General features: G+C 37.9%; 1 protein-coding gene and 1 pseudogene across 5 annotated transcripts in view, besides 1 other annotated feature; one reads left to right on the forward strand and one right to left on the reverse strand.

Annotated features, from left to right (window-relative positions):
* LRRC8C (leucine rich repeat containing 8 VRAC subunit C) overlaps positions 1 to 19,882 on the forward strand; it is a 103,710-nt gene that overhangs the window by 40,891 nt on the left and 42,937 nt on the right. For 2 of the 5 annotated variants that reach the window (XM_006710960.5, XM_011542283.3), the window contains exon 1: positions 4,610 to 11,596. The exons of the other annotated variants lie outside the window; for them this stretch is intronic. In XM_006710960.5, the coding sequence (XP_006711023.1) occupies positions 11,586 to 11,596 (11 nt within the window). In that variant the 5' untranslated portion in view covers positions 4,610 to 11,585. Of the gene's footprint in view, positions 1 to 4,609; positions 11,597 to 19,882 lie in introns of those variants that run through there. 5 annotated transcript variants of the gene reach the window in all.
* Positions 1,377 to 1,436: a silencer, noted in NCBI's record as "silent region_1055". NCBI's record gives its function as "represses an Ori minimal core promoter by ATAC-STARR-seq in GM12878 lymphoblastoid cells {active_cell/tissue: GM12878}" and the evidence as "EXISTENCE:reporter gene assay evidence [ECO:0000049][PMID:35858748]".
* LOC100505788 (cytochrome c oxidase associated subunit FA4 pseudogene) lies at positions 4,339 to 4,819 on the reverse strand (annotated as a pseudogene).

Genomic DNA, 19,882 nt, shown 5'->3' on the forward strand with positions numbered 1-19,882 from the left:
ATTTGGGGGTACTGTTCGGCACTTTCCATGAACAGCAGATATAGTGGAACATACAGTAAATTGGATTTTTTAGAATCCAGAAGATTCCCAAGAGAGAAGCCTAGCTATTTTTTTTATTCAAAGTTTATTAAACAATACAAACATTGTTCTAAAAAGCAAGAAGTCTGGAAATATTTTCTTAATTAAATAATGTAGTTGACAATTTTCACATTTACTGCCGGCTACTTATCCAAGTGTGCATGATTCAAAGGGGTTAAATAACCTGCCCAAAGTCACTAGCTAGTAGCCATAGAGCTAGATTTCAAACCTACGTCTTTCTGGCTATAAAACATACATTGTAACTATTTCATTATATTATACAAAATGGTGAGTAGAGATGGCTTCCTTTTATTTTTATTTTTTAGATTAATGTGACCGCTTATGACTAAACTTAGAATTCTGAAAATGCAGATGTCCAATGAGGTAGTAGTATATACATCTAAGGCAATAACAGGAGTCTTTTTTGTTTGTTTTACTGTTGACATATATTGCCTTGGACTAAGGACTTCATATCACCCTAAGTGTACAAAACTGTAATCAGTTCATAGGAAGAGAATTTGTACAAAATTAAAATTTTGTATTAAAGTGCTATTACTATATTGTTGGTATCCTAAATAGCAACATATCCTGTCTTTATGAATGGTTTGCCTAACGTGGTAGTGGGCCCAGGAAGTAGTGACCATTGTGGTTTAGAAGATGCTTAGTATGGCTGAGCATGGTGTCTCACACCTGTATACCCAACACTTTGGGAGGCCGAGGCAGGCAGATCATGAGGTCAGGAGTTCGAGACCAGCCTGGCCAATATGGTGAAACCCCGTCTCTACTAAAAATACAAAAATTATCTGGGCGTGGTAGCACACGCCTATAGTCCCAGCTACTTGGGAGACTGAGGCAGGAGAATTGCTCGAACCCGGGAGGCAGAGGTTGCAGTGAGCTCAGATTGCGCCACTTACTTCAGCCTGGGTGACAGAGTGAGACTCTGTATCAAAAAAAAAAAAAAAAAAAAAGATGCTTAGTATAATGAAAAGTTACTAAGAATTTCTGAAAAATTTTCAGGGGACCTATTCTTCAAAAGAAGGGAAAAATTTTAAACCTGAACTGGAGTCATGTACATATTAGAATATTTTATAAACAAAAACATAGTTGATAAGACGTGTCATTAATGTTAAGCAGCAGATTTACTTCCAGAGGATCTCAGGAATGAAGTGTATGACTGTGTGTAACTTTACATTTACTCAGCTTGACTATGATTTGTTTTTTTATTGAAATATACCATGCTTTCAAAAAGCCCCCTTGTGCCACATCCAAGAGCAGAATAGGTTCTTTATATAAGGAAACCACAAATCTTGAAAACAGCAGTTTCCCTTGATGTTCTTTGGCCACACTACTGTTTGGTTTAACTAGCGTTTCTGGTATTGGAGTTGTTTGAGTCTCAGAATGACTTTGCTTAGAATTTTTATATTTCTGCCCGACCTCTTCCTGTTGACATATTTGAACTGAATCAAAATTATTTGAGTGATCATATAAGCATGTTAAATATAGCATTTGAAAACAGCCTAAGGGTCTGAAATATTAACTTATTCGGGTGTGTTTGCTTGGAAACCTGGAATGAAGACTGTTTGAAAATATATTTGTTTTTAGAATATAATCTAAAAAAGGCTTTAAAAATTCTGAGGCTCAGTAAAGTTTTAAAATAGTAATTATTCATATCTCAACATCTCAGACGCCAAGGCATTTTATGTAGTGGAAATGGGGCAGGTGGTAGAATCACTACATTTTAAAAATATGCAGCTATGTCCTCATTTTAAGGAAGATTATACCTAAATACCATTTCTATTTTTATATCAGGATCACCTATGAACAGGATTTAGGAAATCCTCATTATCTTTCCAAAACTACACAATTGATATAAAATTTAACATTTGTGTCATTATTTTTCATTCTGAGTGATAAACTATAAAATGTTTCTTGAAAATATGTATGTACCATATGCTGAAAACAGGCACATTTCTGACAGGGAAATGAACTACCTGTACTCTCATTTAGCTATTGGGTGAAGTGTAGATTCCACTGTTTAAATTCTTTAAAGTTTATAAGCGCCTGACCAAGAGGCTATAGAGCTAAAAGATTTATAGCCAAAGAATTAGGAGCCACTGCTAATGGAAAAGCAAACAAATTTTTAAAAAAAGTATCTGAGTATGTGTATATTACACTCTAAGTATGATATATATTTAAAAGTGTCTCTGATATTATAATGAGAGTTAATAGGAAATTTTAGGTTGTGTCTTCTCCAGGTTTTTTTTTTTTTTGTGTGTGTGTGTGTGTGTGTGTGTGTGTGTGTGTGTGTGTGTGTGTCTGTGATGAAGTCTTACTATGTTACCCAGTCTGGTCTCAAACTCTGGGGCTCAAGCAGTCCTCCTGCTTTAGCCTCCCAAGTAGCTAGACTGTGTCAGCCCAGCTATCCCAGTTTTTATGAAACACTTCTGTAAAGGAAAATACCCTTTCCTCCTAACTAATTCCTATATTCATTCAAGAAGGAATTCAACTCAGTTTTCAATTGTTTTGTTCTGTTACGGAATGTTAGGTTTAGTGACTTAGATTAACCAGTTCTAAAAACAGATTACCTGGGTTGTATGCAGGCCCCTCTGCTTACTGCTCTGTAACCCCAGGCAAGATATTGACCTTCCTAAGCCTCCATTTCTTGAGTAAGAGTAGGCTTATAGTACCTGGAGCCCAGAGATATTTGGGCGTTAAGTAATGTAATATGTATGATGCTCCTGACACTTCTAAGTACACAGTAAACCTTAGCTCGTGTTATGATGGAGGTGGGGTTTTCCTTTATACATAAAGAGAACTTCATTTTACAGTAACAGTAATTAATTGTTACTGTTAATAAAACTGTCAATAAAATGGTAATGAACTGTTACTCTAAAATAAAATGCTTATAAATATGGACCCCATCAGAACTACAGTTTTAATGTTCAAAGGATCATCTACATTGAGAAACTGTTTTGAGAGGTAAATCATTGCTGTACATGTGGACTAGCTCTGTGTCATGCAAAAGTGTTACTGCTCAGACAACTAGGTCAGGGGCTGGGCATGCCAAAATGAGCAACCTGGTCTCTGCCCTTACAGAATTTACAGTGTGGGAATGGAGATAGTTGAGAATATAAATAACCCAGGGGAGTGAAGAGGTGAAGAGAGCAAGTAGGAAAGTGTTGATCTTGGACTGCTTATGAAAATACTCAGCCACGGGCTTCCAAAATAGGACACTGCAGCTGTGGTCTGAGACCCCTTCAAATATTATCCAAGCAGCGTGCTCTTCTTGAGAGAGGGTGGGCTGTGTGGGGAAGCCTGACAGTCCTGATGTGGTGATCTGGGAATGGGTGGTGTCCAGGTAAGTATTAACCAAAGATGTGATATTAAAATATAAATTCATGGAGTACTGAAATCATTTTAAGTGAGTAAACCCTGCCTTTGATAGGCCCAGATAAAGCTCTGGTTTTTCCCTAAGACCTCACTTAGTGCGTAGCTGTACTTTTTATCACAAACAGAAGAAACAGATGTTTTGGGGAGAATAGGTCTCAACCTCACCTACATGTTGGAATCACTTGAGGACCTCTAAAACAAAACAAAACAAAAACCTCATGCCTGGGCCCCACCCCAGCGGTTCTGATTTAACTGCACCCAGGCATCAGTGTTTTTAAAACTCTCCAGATGATTCCAATGTGCAGCCAAGGTTGAGAGCCACTCTTCCTCCCTATCCTAGGTTTTATTTCCCCCCAGATGTTCCCTAATAAATTTCAGGAGACTAGCTCAGCCAAATTCTGTCAACAAGTTTTCCAATCAGAAGTTATTAATTTAATACCAGTCCATGTGTTTTCCCTTTGAAAACATGTGCACTTTCTGCATTTCAGTAAGTAATGTTGGCTCCTGGAGAAATACTCATCTTAAGCTCCTAGTGGAGCAAAAGAACCTTTCTCATCCAGCACCCTGCCTCCAGACAGCAAGCTCACCATCAAAACATGATTCACTGTCCTATTTTTCACATCTCCTTGGCATGACCAACCCTCAGATTTCGTCCTGTAACCATTTATTTGGTCATTTAACAATGGGTTGTTTCTTCCTAAATCTCTCATGCAGCAGTTTAAAGCCTGTAATGTGCAAAGTTGAAACATTTTGTATTTGGCACTGAAGTCTATCCATGGACATCCAGGCTCTGGACTCCTCTGGTAGCCTTTTGTATTCCTTTGCTTGTCTCAATTTACATAGTGTTTCTTTTTGTTTTGTTTTGTTTTCCAAGTTTCAGTTATTTACTAATCAGTGCAATCGCCAATAGATTACATCAACATGATTTCATGCATTTAGAGGAGAAGTATTTCCTGGTTAAGCGGAAAATTGTGTGGATGGCTTCTGGAAGACCTTCATTCTAAAGCAGCTTTATAGTGAAACATTTGTTAGAAATCTGGACCTTCTTTCTTCAGTTTGCTGTAATCCACAATTACTGAGTAGAACTTGTATTGATCATTGGGAGCCAGTTTGTTCCAGGGCTCTGGATTATTCTTTCTGTCCCAACTAACATCTGGATTGAACAATGCCAGACACGAGATACAGTGCTGCTCCAGTACCTCCAGCTCCAATGAATACAAAGAGGGAGATCAAGCTTAGATGCTTCTTGGACTGAGTGATGATGTGGTGGAGCATGTTTGCTGAAGAGGCCTCCGATTGGAAAGGAGAGAACCAGCCTAGCCACCAGGCTCTGGCCTAAGTAGTATCTCCATAGTGTTTCTTGATAGGTTCTGTTTCTACCACTTTACTCTTCTAATTAACAGATATCTGGTGAATGACAAATATGGGCCAGACACTCTTCTGGGCATTAGGGACAAAACATTTTGCAAATTGGGCAAAAATTTCTGCCCTCCTGGGACTTGCATTCAAGTGGGAGGAGAGAGAAAAGGAAATGCATAATTAGCTAAAATATATATAGTATGTTCAAAGGTGTTAAGTGCTATGGAGAAAAATAAGGCAGGGCAGGAGGAAAGGGAGTGCTATGGCTGAGATATGGTGTGATATTAAATTGGCTTTGCAGTATTATCTAAACAAGAGGAGGGTGAAGGCTTGGACCAGAGGAGTAGTGATAGAAATGGTGAAAAGTGGTTGCAATCTGGGTAAATTTCAGCAAGGCCTAAAGAAGGTGAAGGATTGAGCCCTGCAGATACCAGGAAGATGAGAATTCCAGACAGAGCTGTTGCAAATGCAAAAGCAGGAGTGAACCTGGGGTGCCAAGAAACCACTCTAACAGGGGCATCCGATCTTTTGGCCTCCCTGGGACACACTTGAAGAAGAAGAATTGTCTTGGGCCACACATAAAATACATTAATGATAGCTGATGAGCTAAAAGAAAAAAAATCACAAAATCTCATAATGTTTTAGGAAAGGAAAGCTTGCAAATTTCTGTTGGGTCATATTCAAAGCCATCCTGGGCCACAAGTGGTCTGCAGGCCACAGATTGGACAAGCTTGTGCTAGAAGGCCCAGTGTGGCTGGAGCAAAGCGAGTGTGCAGGAGAGGGCTATGAGACTGGTGTGGGGTGGGAGTGAGATTGCAGAGGGCCTTTTAGGACTTTTGTAAAGATTTTCGCTTTTTCACAGAGTGAGATGGAGAATTATTAGAGGATTTTGAATGGAGAAGAAACCCAGGATCATTCTGGTTGCTCACTTGAGATGACTCTCTAGGGGTCATTGGTAGAAGTGGAGAGACTAATCAGGAAGATATTGCAATAATCTTGCAATAATCTAATTGAGAGATGATGGTGGCTTGGATCGGGGTAGCAGCTAAGATGGGTCAGAAATCGTTGGAATCTGAATATATTTTTGTAGGTAAAACTTTTTGCCCTTATGTCTATGTAATATTTTTTGATATTCCTCTTAAAATAGAGCCCTAAACTCCAGTAAGGGACCTGAATAATGCTAGTTATAGCAAAAGGTTAACTGTCTGACTCTTGAATACCACAAATTTAGTATTGTGTTTTCAGCCCCCGCCATGGGGTAGATATTATTTTCCTATGTTTCTTTTTTTTAATTATTATACTTTAAGTTCTGGGATACGTGTGCAGAACCTGCAGGTTTGTTACATAGGTATACACGTGCCATGGTGCTTTGCTGTGCCCATCAACCCGTCGTCTACATTGGGTATTTCTCCTAATGCTATCCCTTCCCCAGCCTCCCATCCCCTGACAGGTCCCAGTGTGTGATGTTCCCCTCCCTGTGTCCATGTGTTCTCATTGTTCAACTCCCACTTATGAGTGAGAACATGCAGTGTTTGGTTTTCTGTTCTTGTGTTAGTTTGCTGAGAATTATGGTTTCTAGCTTCATCCATGTCCCTGCAAAGGACATGAACTCAGCCTTTTTTATGGCTACATAGTATTCCATGGTGTATATGTGCCACATTTTCTTTATCCAGTCTATCATTGATGGGCATTTGGGTTGGTTCTAAGTCTTTGCTATTGTGAAGAGTGCTGCAATAAACACACATGTGGCCGGACGCGGTGGCTCATGCCTGTAATCCCAGCACTTTGGGAGGCAGAGGCGGGCGGATCATGAGGTCAGGAGATCGAGACCATCCTGGCTAACACAGTGAAACCCCACCTCTACTAAAAATACAAAAAATTAGCCGGGCTTGGTGGCCAGCACCTGTAGTCCTAGCTACTCGGGAGGCTGAGGCAGGAGAATGGTGTGAACCCGGGAGGCAGAGCTTGCAGTGAGCCGAGATTGCGCCACTGCACTCCAGCCTGGGCGACAGAGCGAGACTCTGTCTCAAAAAAAAAAAAAAAAATACATGTGCATGTGTCTTTATAGTAGAATGATTTATAATCCTTTGGGCATAGACCCAGTAATGGGATTGCTGGGTCAAATGGTGTTTCCAGTTCCAGATCCTTGAGGAATTGTCACACTGTCTTCCACAATGGTTGAACTAATTTACACTCCCACCAACAGTGTAAAAGCGTTCCTGTTTCTCCACATCCTCTCCAGCATCTGTTGTTTCCTGACTTTTAATGATCGCCATTCTAACTGGTGTGAGATGGTATCTCATTGTGGTTTTTATTTGCATTTCTCTGATGACCAGTGATGATGAGCTTTTTTTCATGTTTGTTGGCTGCATAAATGTCTTCGTTTAAGAAGTGTCTGTTCATATCCTCTGCCCACTTTTTGATGGTGTTGATTTTTTTCTTGTAAACTTGTTTAAGTTCTTTGTAGATTCTGGATATTAGCCCTTTGTCAGATGAATAGATTGCAAAAAATTTCTCCCATTCTGTAGGTTGCCTGTTCACCCTGATAACAGTTTTGTTTGTTTGTTTGTTTGTTTTTTGCTGTGCAAAAGCTCTTTAGTTTAATTATATCCCATTTGTCAATTTTGGCTTTTGTTGCCATTGCTTTTGGTGTTTTAGTCATGAAGTCTTTGCCCATGCCTATGTCCTGAATGGTATTGTCTAGATTTTCTTCTAGGGTTTTTATGGTTTTATGTCTTACAGTTAAGTCTTTAATCTATCTTGAGTTAATTTTTGTATAATGTGTAAGGAAGGGGTGCAGTTTCAGTTTTCTGCATACGGCTAGCCAGTTTTCCCAACATCATTTACTAAATAGGGAACCCTTTCCCCATTTCTTATTTTTGTCAGGTTTGTCAAAGATCAGATGGTTGTAGAGGTGTGGTGGTATTTCTGAGGCCTCTATTCTGTTCCATTGGTCTATATTTGTGTTTTGGTACCAGTACCATGCTGTTTTGATTACTGTAGCCTTGTAGTATAGTTTGAAGTCAGGTAGTGTGATGCCTCCAGCTTTGTTCTTTTTGCTAAGGATTGTCTTGGCTATGTGAGCTCTTTTTTGGTTCCATATGAAATTTAAAGCAGTTTTTTCTAATTACGTGAAGAAAGTCAATGGTAGCTTGACAGTGATAGCATTGAATCTATAAAATTACTTTGGGCAGTATGGCCATTTTCACGATATTGATTCTTTCTATCCATGAGCATGGAATGTTTTTCCATTTGTTTGTGTTCTCTCTTATTTCCTTGAGCAGTGGTTTGTAGTTCTCCTTGAAGAGATCCTTCACATCCCTTGCAAGTTGTGTTCCTAGGTATTTTATTCTCTTTGTAGTAATTGTGAATGGGATTTCACTCATGATTTGGCTGTTTGTCTATTATTGCTGTATAGGAATGCTTGTGATTTTTACACATTGATTTTGTATCCTGAGACTTTGCTGAAGTTGCTTATCAGCTTAAGGAGATGATGATGGGGTTTTCTAAATATACAATCATGTCATCTGCAAACAGAGACAATTTGACTTCCTCTCTTCCTATTTGAATATCCTTTATTTCTTTCTCTTGCCTGATTGCCCTGGCCAGAACTTCCGATACTACGTTGAATAGGAGTGGTGAGAGAGGGTATCCTTGTCTTGTGCCAGTTTTCAAAGGGAATGCTTCCAGCTTTTGCCCGTTCATTATGATATTGGCTGTGGGTTTGTCATAAATAGCTCTTATTATTTTGAGATACATTCCATTAATACCTAGTTTATTGAGAGTTTTTAGCATGAAAGGGTGTTGAATTTTGTTGAAGGCCTTTTCTGCATCTATTGAGATAATCATGTGGTTTTTGTCATTGGTTCTGTTTATGTGATGGATTATGTTTATTGATTTGTGTATGTGTAGGCCTAGGTTAATATACATGTTGGCGTCTTCGTTTTTAGTTAAAAAATTTAAAAAGCAAAATATAATAATTTAATAGCAAAAAACTTATTGAATAAGGAATAAAATATATTTTTGCGCAGCTATAAAATGTGTTTGTGTTTTAAGCCAAATGTTATTATGAAAGCATCAAAAAGTTATAAAGAATGTTTAAAGTTTAAAAAGCAAAAAAGTTGCAGTAACCTACAGCTTATTGTTGAAGAAAGAAAAATTTTTTTTATAAATTTAGTGTAGCCTAGGTGTACAGTGTTTATTATAAAGTCTACGGCAGTGCAAAGTAACATCCTAGGCCCTCACATTCACTCATCACTCACTTGCTGACCCATCCAGAGCAACTTCCAGTCCTGCAAACTCCATTCATGGTAAGTACCCTATACAGGTGTACTATTTTTAATCTTTTATACATTTTTATTTTACCTTTCCTATGTTTCGATACACAAATACTTACTATTATGTTGCAGTTACCTACAGGATTCAGTACAGGAAAATGCTGTACAGATTTATAGCCTAGGAGCAAGAGGCCAAACCCTATAGCCAAAGTGCGTAGTAGGCTATACCGTCTAGGATTGTATAAGTACACTCTATGACATCCACACGACAAAATTGCCTAATGATGCGTTTCTCAGAACGTATCCCCATTATTAAGCAACATATGACTGCATTTTGACCCAAATGATCAATGATTGCTATTGCACTGCTGTTGCTTAATAAACATGTACATTCCCTTCTTGCAGTCTTTACCTTATTCCATGGTAGGTCCCTGGAAGTTGACAGAGGCCGGCAATGTGAGTAGAGGAAAAAACATGATACTGTTAATAATATAAAGGAGACGAGTTAACGGGTGCAGCACACCAACATGGCACACGTATACATATGTAACAAACCTGCACCTTGTGCACATGTACACTAGAACTTTAACAAAAATATATATATATAAAGAAGCCCATGATTCAAAACAAATGAGGCCCAGGACAGTTCTTGTCCCACTCCTCTCCTTTGTTCCTTCTCCCAACTCTCTAAATAAGATAGAATTGTCCTTTTCCAGCTCCATGCAGATCTCTCAGGTGGCCTCTTTGACTTCTTTGCTTCCTCTTTGCCCCTAAACAGGGTGCAGGTATCATGAGAAAATGCAGAGTAGTACAAAAGAAATCTGGTGTTCTCTTCCCCAAAACCAAGTGCACCTTACTCTAATTTCTGTTAGTCACATAAACATTTCTGTTATTCATTTTAATAACTGGAAGAATTTCAGGTTAAGTAGATGCTCATTTCTCATTTCATTGGTTCAGCAATTACTTATTGAGTACCTTTTATGTGCCAGATACTGTTCTAGGCTCTGGGAGACAGGAGTGAACAAAACAAAGTCCCCATTTCTTAGGGAGCTTACCTTATGATGCAGCAGAGAGATAGAAGTATAACTAAATGAGTAATACCCGTATAGTACATCTGATAAAGATAATGCTATTGAGGAAAGCAACTTAGGGAATGAAAAAGGGAGTGCTGGGATGGCATGCTCTTGCTTTTGGTGAGTTGGTATTAATATTTTCAATAGGGTAGCCAGAAAAGGTGTCTCCAATAATGATATATGTGCAGAGACCTGAAGGAAGTGAGAAAACAATATTCATGCCAATATCTGGTGGCAGAATGCTCCTTGCTGCAGGAAGTCCTTAGACCGTTTTCTCCTCTCTATATGCTGCCTAGGTGGTTTCATCCTATCACTTTTTATAACCCTAATGACTCCCAAACTTCTATCTCTATCCCAGATCTTTCCTATCTCTAGTCCAGTGTATCCAGCTGTTTGTGGAGCCCCTCCACTTGGGTGTCTAGTAGACATCTCAGATTTCAGATGTCTCTATCCAAACTCCTTATTCCCCACTCCCTAAACCTACTTTCTGTAGCCTCTCACTCCCTTTATAAAATGGCAACTCCATTATTTCAGCTTCTCAACTTAAAAATATTGGACTCATAATGATTCTTCTCTCTCAAACCTCACACCCAATCCATCAGCTAGAGCACGAGTTACTTATATTGGGAAAAACTAAAAAAGGAGTAAACCTAGGGCAGTGGGAGGAAGAAATTAAGGTAAAATACAAAGCAGAGCAGTAATAGAGCTACTTTCTGGGCAGTGTTTGATGGGATGAGGAAAATCTAAGCTGAAGGCATTTGAGCCTTGGAACTCAGGTTGCTGGGAAATCACATCCTAAGCCACATTCCCTTAAAAGAGCTAAAACTTTAAAGTGGTTTGCTATGTTTTGATATGTCTTAACATCAAGAGTGAGTTAGTTGGCAAAACTCAAGCTGTCAACCCATGGGTTAGAAAGAGACTTTAGGTACCCGTGAGAATGTTTTACATAAAGTTTACCTAAAGTATTTTCCATTTCCTGCTTCTGGAAACATTGTGGGACCTGAATGGAGAAGCCAGAAGTGCAAAGTCATAATAATAATTTTAAAAAACAGTGAGCATTTGAACCAGTCTTAGAAAAATGAATGTTCTTTGTTGGCATATCTACAATAAAGCAAAACACTTAGCTGAAACATCAGGGAAAGGAAATGATAAATGTCATGGGGTAAAAGATGGTTAAATACTTAAGTATCTTGATTATATTAATTTGAACCATGAAAAGGAAGTAAGTACTCACTGTCCTTCTGTTTTGATTTGGTATACATTTCCCAGCATTCAAATTCTCAGCACAGAAGGTTCTTGCTGTTTTGCTGCACCAAGTTCTTGGAAATCACATACAGATCCCCCTAAAGGAGATTGGAACAGTGCAATATTTGGGGACTGCATTCTCCACCCAAGGATTTAGCATCAAATGAAAAACAGGTATAACCAAGAGCATAACACAAAAGAGCTTCAGTGGCTCTGGTAAAATTTTATTTTTTTAGCTATTTATTATAGAAGGATAAGTTTCACCCTAGTGACTCCTTCATGGACAGAAGCGGAATCCTTTATAACTTCTAAAAAGATCATTCCTCAGACTGGATTTCTCTCAGTGTCAGATTTTAGGCTACAGTGTTCAAGTCACAAATATGATTGCCCTGAATGCAATCCTGAAAGAGGTGAATTTCCAAATAGGTCCTTTTGCCAATGGATATCAAGTCTGAATTTCCCGTAAAGGAGATTGTTAGAGACTAAAATAATTTCCCTCTTTAAATGAAATGAGCTTGGACATTGGAATCTGAAAGCCCTGAGGTGGAATTTTTGCTATGCCCTTCACAGGCTTTCCAATCTTGGAGAAATTATTTAATCTCTCTTTGTGTGTTTCCTCTTCTGTACAGAAAAGATAATACCTACCTCGTGGATTTAATATGGAGGTTCAACAGATAACATGTTTAATGTCTGGCAGTTAGTAAGCATGATAACATTATATGTCAATTATATACCTTTTATTTCCTATTTAACCAACACAATTTTTTTGTTTCTTCTGTTTTTATAAATAATTCTATTTTAGTGTGGTACCTCAAATTAGGACAGAAGTCTCCAAACACCGATAAATTCTTATTCTCAAAAGTAAACTTCATTATTCACAATAACCAAGATGTAAAAATAACCAAAATGTCCATTGACAGATGAATAGAAAAAGAAAATGTAGTATATACACACAATGGAATACTACTCAGCCTTTAAAAAACAGGAAATTCTGCAATATGTGACAACATGGATGAATGAGGACGTTCTGATAAGTGAAATAAGCCAGTCACAGAAAGATATGTGATTCCATATGTGAAGTATCTAAAGTAGTCAAATTAATAAAATCAAAGAGAACACTGGTGGTTGCCAGGGGCTGGGGGGAGGGGAAATGGCGAGCTGTTAATACTAATCAATGGGCATAAAGTTTCTGTTTGCAACATGAGTAAGCTTTAAAGATCTGCTGTACAACATTGTACCTATAGTTACCCAAACTGTATGGTATGCTTAAAATTTTAAGCGGGTAGATCTTATATTGTGCTCTTACCAAAATAACATGTTTAAAAATCATAAAGTCATTATCATAGCTATCAAATTTGATTGTCATCTCTATTGCTAATATTAGTAGCTGTCATCTATTGAGTGCTAATTCCTGCCCAGTACCATGATTAGTGTTTGCCACTCTTACATGCTTCCCCAGCAATCCTGTGAAGCAAGATACTGTTCTTTTCCCCATTCTCAAGATGAGAAAACAGAAGGATTAAGTAAGTTTCTTGTGGTCACCCAGCTTACAAGTGACAGAGCCGGGATACAGACTCAGGCACCCTGACTTCAGTGCCATGCTCCCAACCACTATGATTCTGAAGTATTATTTTTATATTCTAGTACTATATTAATATGATTGTCTGCCCTTGAGAGGAGTCATTTATTGCCTTAATAACCAATGACAGATCTCCTCCAAAAAAGTAGAGATTGGACATGGAAAATGTAACCTAGGAGGATGTTTCTATTTCTTATGTTTGTTTCTTTTTTCTTTTGCCTTTTCCTATAATAAAACCAGATATTTGAGTGGAGATTCTATGTCATTTGCAGAAAAGTGAGTGGGTGGAAATAATCCATAATGTTTAACTTTTTTAATTATTTAAGATTATATATCACTGAAGAAAATCTCATTTGATCCCTGCAAACCCTTTCCCATTCCCCTTATTTAATTCTGTGAGTCAAAGAAAAGAAAGGTCCAGAATAGTTATTATATCAGCTTAGTTCTTATTATTAATACCATGCTTTCACTCCCTTGGATATTTTCTGTATTTAATCCGTTTACATGCTTTTTGCGTGTTGCCATAGTAAAGCTCATTCCGTGATGTGAGAGACCCTAGTGCTGAAGAAGGTTTTCTTAGCGTTAAACCTCGCATTTTCATTTCCGCATTTTATCTTGGTGTTACCAGGGCAACCCAAATAATTTCATTTTCTCTTCGAAGTTGATGCCCTTAGCCTGTTATACCCTCATGCTGACTCATTCATGTTCTTGCCATTTTTTTTCTAGTGTAATTCTGGTAACTACTTTCTTTACAACATATGTTTTCTGCTTTTCTTTCTATAATCATAGCAGCTAATGCATTGTTGGAGTAGTGGTTAAATATTTGGAGGGATTACAAATCCCACTGAAGATTGGAAAAGAGCTGTGGACTTTCTCTTCAGAAAAATGTCAATTTAAAAAATAATGAATGAAAATATTGAATATATAGAAGTTTATTCAAGTATCTCTTTACAAATCTATTTGGTTCTTAGCTTTTGAATAGCAAGTTGCAAGAGTTTATACAGCAAGGAATTTATCAAAAAAACTATCTGAATCTATTCCATCTTTAAATTTAGATTGTGAAAGTAAAGGTACCTGTTTATTTCTGTTTTCATATCTTCATCCCAGGGCAGTCCCATGCTTGGTTTTATACCCTGTTTGTCTCTGGCATGTCTCTTGGCAAACCACCTGCAGGAGTTAAAAAGCTAGTTGGTATGCATCTTTTCCAGTGCTGGCCTGGCTTATGCAAGCCCCTTGGGTTTGAATCAGTATAAAGAGCTGAAGAGCAAAGAAAGGGGATAATACATTTTTTGGTTTCCTTGTTTATAGATCTGTTACTCACATATGCTCTTTTTTTTCTTTCTTTTTATTTTTTTGAGATGGGGTCTGGCTCTGTCACCCAGGCTGGAGTGCAGTGGCTATTCATGGGTACCATCATAGCTCACTGCATCCTTAAACTCCTGGTCTCAAATGATTCTCCCACCTCAGCCACCCCAGTAGTCACATATTCTACTATAGCTTTTTATTTATCTTCTATCCCCAGTGCTTGGCACTTAGTAGTTAGGTAAAATGTGTTGAAAAAGGTTAGGGAGGGAAGAAGGTTAGAGAGGAGGAAAGGAGAAAAGGAAAGAGGAAGGGCATACTCAAGGAAGGGAAGAAAAAGAGAAAAGTGAAAAACAGATCAAAGGAGACTATCCTCTGAGCAAAGACAATCTCTGTGCATAGCTCAGAAGTCAGTTCCTAAGGAGGAATTCTAGGTGGATTTCGAGTGAGGGGCCCTCATGGCAGGCTGACACACATTTGGATAAATGCAGGAGAGTAAAGACATGGTTGACCCACATGTTGCTGCGTGTGTTCAGTCTCAGGAGATTGTTGAGCAGCCCATGACCGGTGATGACCATCCCACTGAGATTCTAACGGCCTTCAGTGCCTGTCATGAGAATTTTGTGAACTTGGTACAAACATAGGCTATTGAGCCAGATTTTAACATGGAATTAATGTGGAGGCATTAATGATGTTTACGCTGAATTAATGTGGAGGCATTGTGTGGAGGATGACCAAGTATAGGTCAGAGTCAGTTTGCATGTTCTAGAAGGCAGTTTTCTCCATTTAACAGCCACATGCAAGGTGAAGCTGTGAAGCTTTACATGAATCTGCAGAAAGCATGGGTAGATTTTCACACATACCGTACAAAACAACTTTTGGTGAATGAGTCTTGTGACTTTTTGCCAGTTCCATCTAAGAGCATGTCATGTGTTGCCCTCCTTGTCTCAGATCATCTGGACTGGCTCAGGCTACCCCTATCCTTATGTCTCTACAGATAGAAAATGACAGGGCCCAACCTTATTCAAAATAAACAGAAACAAAACATTTATGAGTAATGGATAGCAAAATGAAACATTTTAAGAGGGGAAAAACAAACAACAAAAAAAGCCATTACGTTGCAGACCCTTCACTCTGTCTGAAATGTTCTCCTGGCCTTGGCCTCCAATTTTACCTAGCTAACTGTTACTACTTATACTATACTTCATACTTCCATGCAAGCATCACTTCCTAAACCCCCAGTAGTTCAGGTCCTAACATATACTGTCAGAGTGACCTACACTTCTACTTCATCATGCTTGTCACAATTGTGATTAAATGGTTGTGTGTCATTGTTTACTGTCTGTCTTTCCACCATAATGCATGATTCATGAAGACGGGGATTATGTCTCTCTTACTCATCACTTTATTCACATTAACGAGCTCAATACCTTGCAGATAGAGCTATTCTAATACTTATAGAAAGAATAAATAAAGTTCCAGGCATCGTGGTAAGTGCTAGGAATATAAAGCTTTCAAAGACACCGCATCTGTCCTTTGGAAACGTTGTACTCCAGTAGCTATCTCCATTGATAATCTATTCAGCCTCTAGAAACAGAAAGACCAAGGATACATTAAGATCCTAGAACTTTCTCCACCCCCATTCCCCTACATCCCATGTCTTTCTCACGATAATCCCAAGACTGGCCGTGCTTGTGTCCAAGGATGTGGAATAGAAATGAACCAACTTATCTTTCCACCAATTTCCATTTCTTCGTTGACTGGATATTTATTTATTTATTTATTTATTTATTTTTATAGAAACAATTTTAATTTATATCTGTGTTACCTAATGTTTTAGGTTTCTAAAACATTAGGCTGTGTTAAGTTTTTAAGATGGGTCATTGGAAAAGAAGATCAAACATTACAAGAACAAGTAAAAACAAACATCCCCACAGTTGTTTCATAAACCCTGTCCTTTCCCTTGGCCCTAAGCCTACTTTCCACTGCCCAAAACATCATCTACTTCATTCCTAAGTCCTTCTTCAGAACTTCCAAAGATCTCTCTTCTTTGAAGTGTTGGACTTTTAAAAGTGTTTTTTCTTCTTTCTTCCATACTTTTTTCTACTTGTCTAAAGTTTTAATTGAATTCCTATGACCTTTCTATGCTATTTTTTATTTTTTAGCATTTGTGATTAATATATTTAAACCTCCCAATTTAACAACTTTTGAGCCAGTTTTGCTCTTTTCAAGCACCCGCAATCCGCCTTTTTAATCCTCCTGATGAAGTTGCTGAGAAAAATCAGTTCTGAAATCAGCTTTAGATGTCACCTTGCAAGTTGATACATTACTAGACTTCCATAGGTTTTCAACCGTTTAAAAAAATATATCTGCAAGGTCTAGATATCTTTGAGATGGTTTTCTCAGGAAGACCTCATCTGGCTCCAAGCCAGCTTTCTTACTAATAATAGCAACTCCAAGTGATTTCAAAATACTGTACCGTTTGTCAATGAAGATGGCACTGTTTTTGGTCTTGTTCCAAGTTAGCTGATGAGCTTTATATTTCTTCCTCTACTTTTTTTTCTGACATAGGATGCAAATTAATAAATCCAAGATATTACACTTAGACCATTCTTGTAACTTTCTTTTTAATTGCTCATCTATTTACCCAATAAATATATATTGAGCACCTACTATATGCCAAATACTGTGAAGTGTTGGGAAAACAGTGGTGAACAAAACAAATTATTTCTGCCTTCATGGACCTTATAGCCTAGGGAAGACCAATGTAAATCCAAGAGCACAAATGAATGGAAAGTACTCTCTGACAGAGGTCATCAGGGGGTATCCTCAATGAGAGCCTGAAACTCTGGATGTGACGGAGTCAGAGAGATTGGGGACAGCTTCCCTGAGCAAGTGGTGCTAGAACCTGGGTCTGCGGTATGCATAGGAGTTAACAAAGCAAGGTGGGTGGGTATTGAAAGAACGTTCCAGTTGTAGGATTAGTACCAAAAGGCCCCTGCCACTATTATTTATGTCTTCTTTGTGATGACTTTTCAGGATCTACATAGACTGTTGGCCTTTGCTATCATGCAATGTATGTTACCTAGTTTCACTATTTCTTTTTGAGGGAGGATAGGTTTTTTATCTTTTTAAATTAAAGAACATATCTATCTTCAGAAACAATGTATTTTAATTAAATGATTCATATTTTCCGAGAATATTTTTCGTATAGATGTTCGGCACAATGTAGATTTGAGAGACCAGTAACATTTGGCTATTTCCACCTAGAGCCTTCCTATAAAGAAACTTTTCATGCCCTTTCTCAGCTTCTAGAATGTGTGACTCTATGAGCATCAAATGTGTTTGCATTAGATATTTAGCTCTGCTGTGAATAAAGAAAACTTAGAAGAGGGAACTCATAAAATGTCTAACTTGGAAAAGATGGCCATTAAATCAGTATGTTAAATATAGAGCCAAACCCAGCAATTATTTCTCCTTTAGATACAAAGCCTTGCATTAAATATTCATTAGCTGGACAGACAAAACCTAACATTCTGATTTTTAGGTACATTCTTATCAGTTTTAATGCTCCTGAAGGGCCATTTTTCCTGGAGGCTGGAGGACCTGAAATTTTTCCTTCCATCACAAACTTTACTGAGCTCATCCAACAGGAAAGACCAATCAACAGCTGGCATGAGATGGAGGGCAGCCTTCTTGAAAAGCTCCAAAGATAATTAGTCAACCGTTAGTGTTTTTCTGCAATTATCAAACTTTCATGGTCCCTGATTCTAGATGGTACATTTTAAAGGTAGATTCCTGTAAAGATTAGCTTAACTGAAAAGGAAGATAAAAATGATCATACTCTAAACCCATTAGTCTTTCAGTCTCTCACTTTAAACATCAGTCTCTTGGTTTCTGTGCAGTGTTACTTTGTTTCCTAGTTTTTTATGTTTAACCTAGCTGGAAATTTTAAATTTTACCCCTATTTAACAAAAACAAAAACAAGTGAAAAAGTGTTTGACAAAAAGTTGCTTTAGCTTCCTTGTCACACTTTTTGGTTGACAGTTTGTATAAGTACCAGTCTACCATCTATTTTTATGGAAAGGTATTTGAAAAACAAGCTACATTTCTTGTCAGAACAGAAAAGACAACTTTCTCCCTATGAAATCATTAAGAGTTCAACTCAAAAAAACAAAAAAACAAAAACAAAAACAAAAAACCTTTTTTTGAGTATTCTAGGCCCCAGAGCAAGGAATATAAAATAAAAGGTGACCCCTTGCCTTTTCAGAAAACTGTAAATTCCAGAAGTTACAAAATAAACAAGAAACTTTAGTTTTAATGCTCTTGAGGGCAGGAGTCTTCTTGCCTTCCGCACCCTCCTCTCCTTGCTGCCCTTCATCAGAAAGAAAGCAGCATTCCCCGCACATGGCTTTGCCAGCTCCTGTCATGCCTGGGTTTTCTGGGCTGCGCTGTGTGTTCATGGTGTGCCTGCTGCTTAGAACCCTGTGCCCTCTTTGTTCAAGGGGTAAAACTGGATTGGAGGTAAACCTCAGTCTCTTTCTGTACATTGAAGGAAGAGATCAATGATCTTCAAACCAATCATTACAGATTTCCCCAGTTGAATTTGACTTAGCTTTTGGATGTTGAGACTGATAAGGTGATTGAAAACCTGGCCTTAACCACAGCCAATGATATTGAGAGTTCAAGGAGAAACACACAGCCTTTTCAAGGGTTTAGAATCCGATTGGGATTGGGAGGAGGTGTGTATCCACGCTACCTCATGGAAGAGTGTTTCTAGTTTAAAGGAGACAGAAAAGAAAAAAAAGAAACTGGAGTGAAGAGGTGACTAAGAAGGCCAGTAAGATGCAGAGAGCTGAGCCATTTCTGAGAGAGACTATAGGTATACTCAGAATAATAGATATATGGAAAGAAATGACTGACATTTGAGGATAATCGTTTATGAACAGTTTTTGAAGGACTATTAGATCTCAGCTTAGCCTCATTTCAGTAAGGATTTCTGAATTTAAATGTACTTGAATTGTGCGGAATAGGCATTAAATAATTATTAGTATCATATACATATAGCTGAAACTATTTGACAAAAATCCCAAAGAAATTAAAGCTTTCTTTTAAGATCTCAGTGAGATTTAGAAAAGCAATATTCCAAACCATTATTTTGTTAATAATACTTTAATGTTTAGATTTGTTTTCTATCACCTGTTTCTTAATAGGTTCATGTTCTGACAAGGTAGTCACAACATTTGGCCATTTTCTTGGGTACAAGCTAAGACCTCAGAAGACATTACTGATCAACACATCCTGTTTAGCAGTAGTGACAGAACATTGTGCATTAAAAATTCAATGATATTTAACTTTGAAATTATAAATTATTCCTGACTTCTTTCCTCATCTCAAACATTCTCTTCAGTAGTGGATGTTCTTTGAATAATCATTATTTACAACAAGGAGCTATTTGGTAATAGTCTCTCTCTTATTTATTGCAATGTCAGGGTCTATCTAAGGGGATAATAACGTAATGAAAGAGTTGGTCCTTACTACAAAATGCTCGATTGGGTGTGTCTTTATCTGTGTGGGTG

This window comes from Homo sapiens, chromosome 1, assembly GCF_000001405.40.
Source record: "Homo sapiens chromosome 1, GRCh38.p14 Primary Assembly".
NCBI lineage: Eukaryota > Metazoa > Chordata > Mammalia > Primates > Hominidae > Homo > Homo sapiens.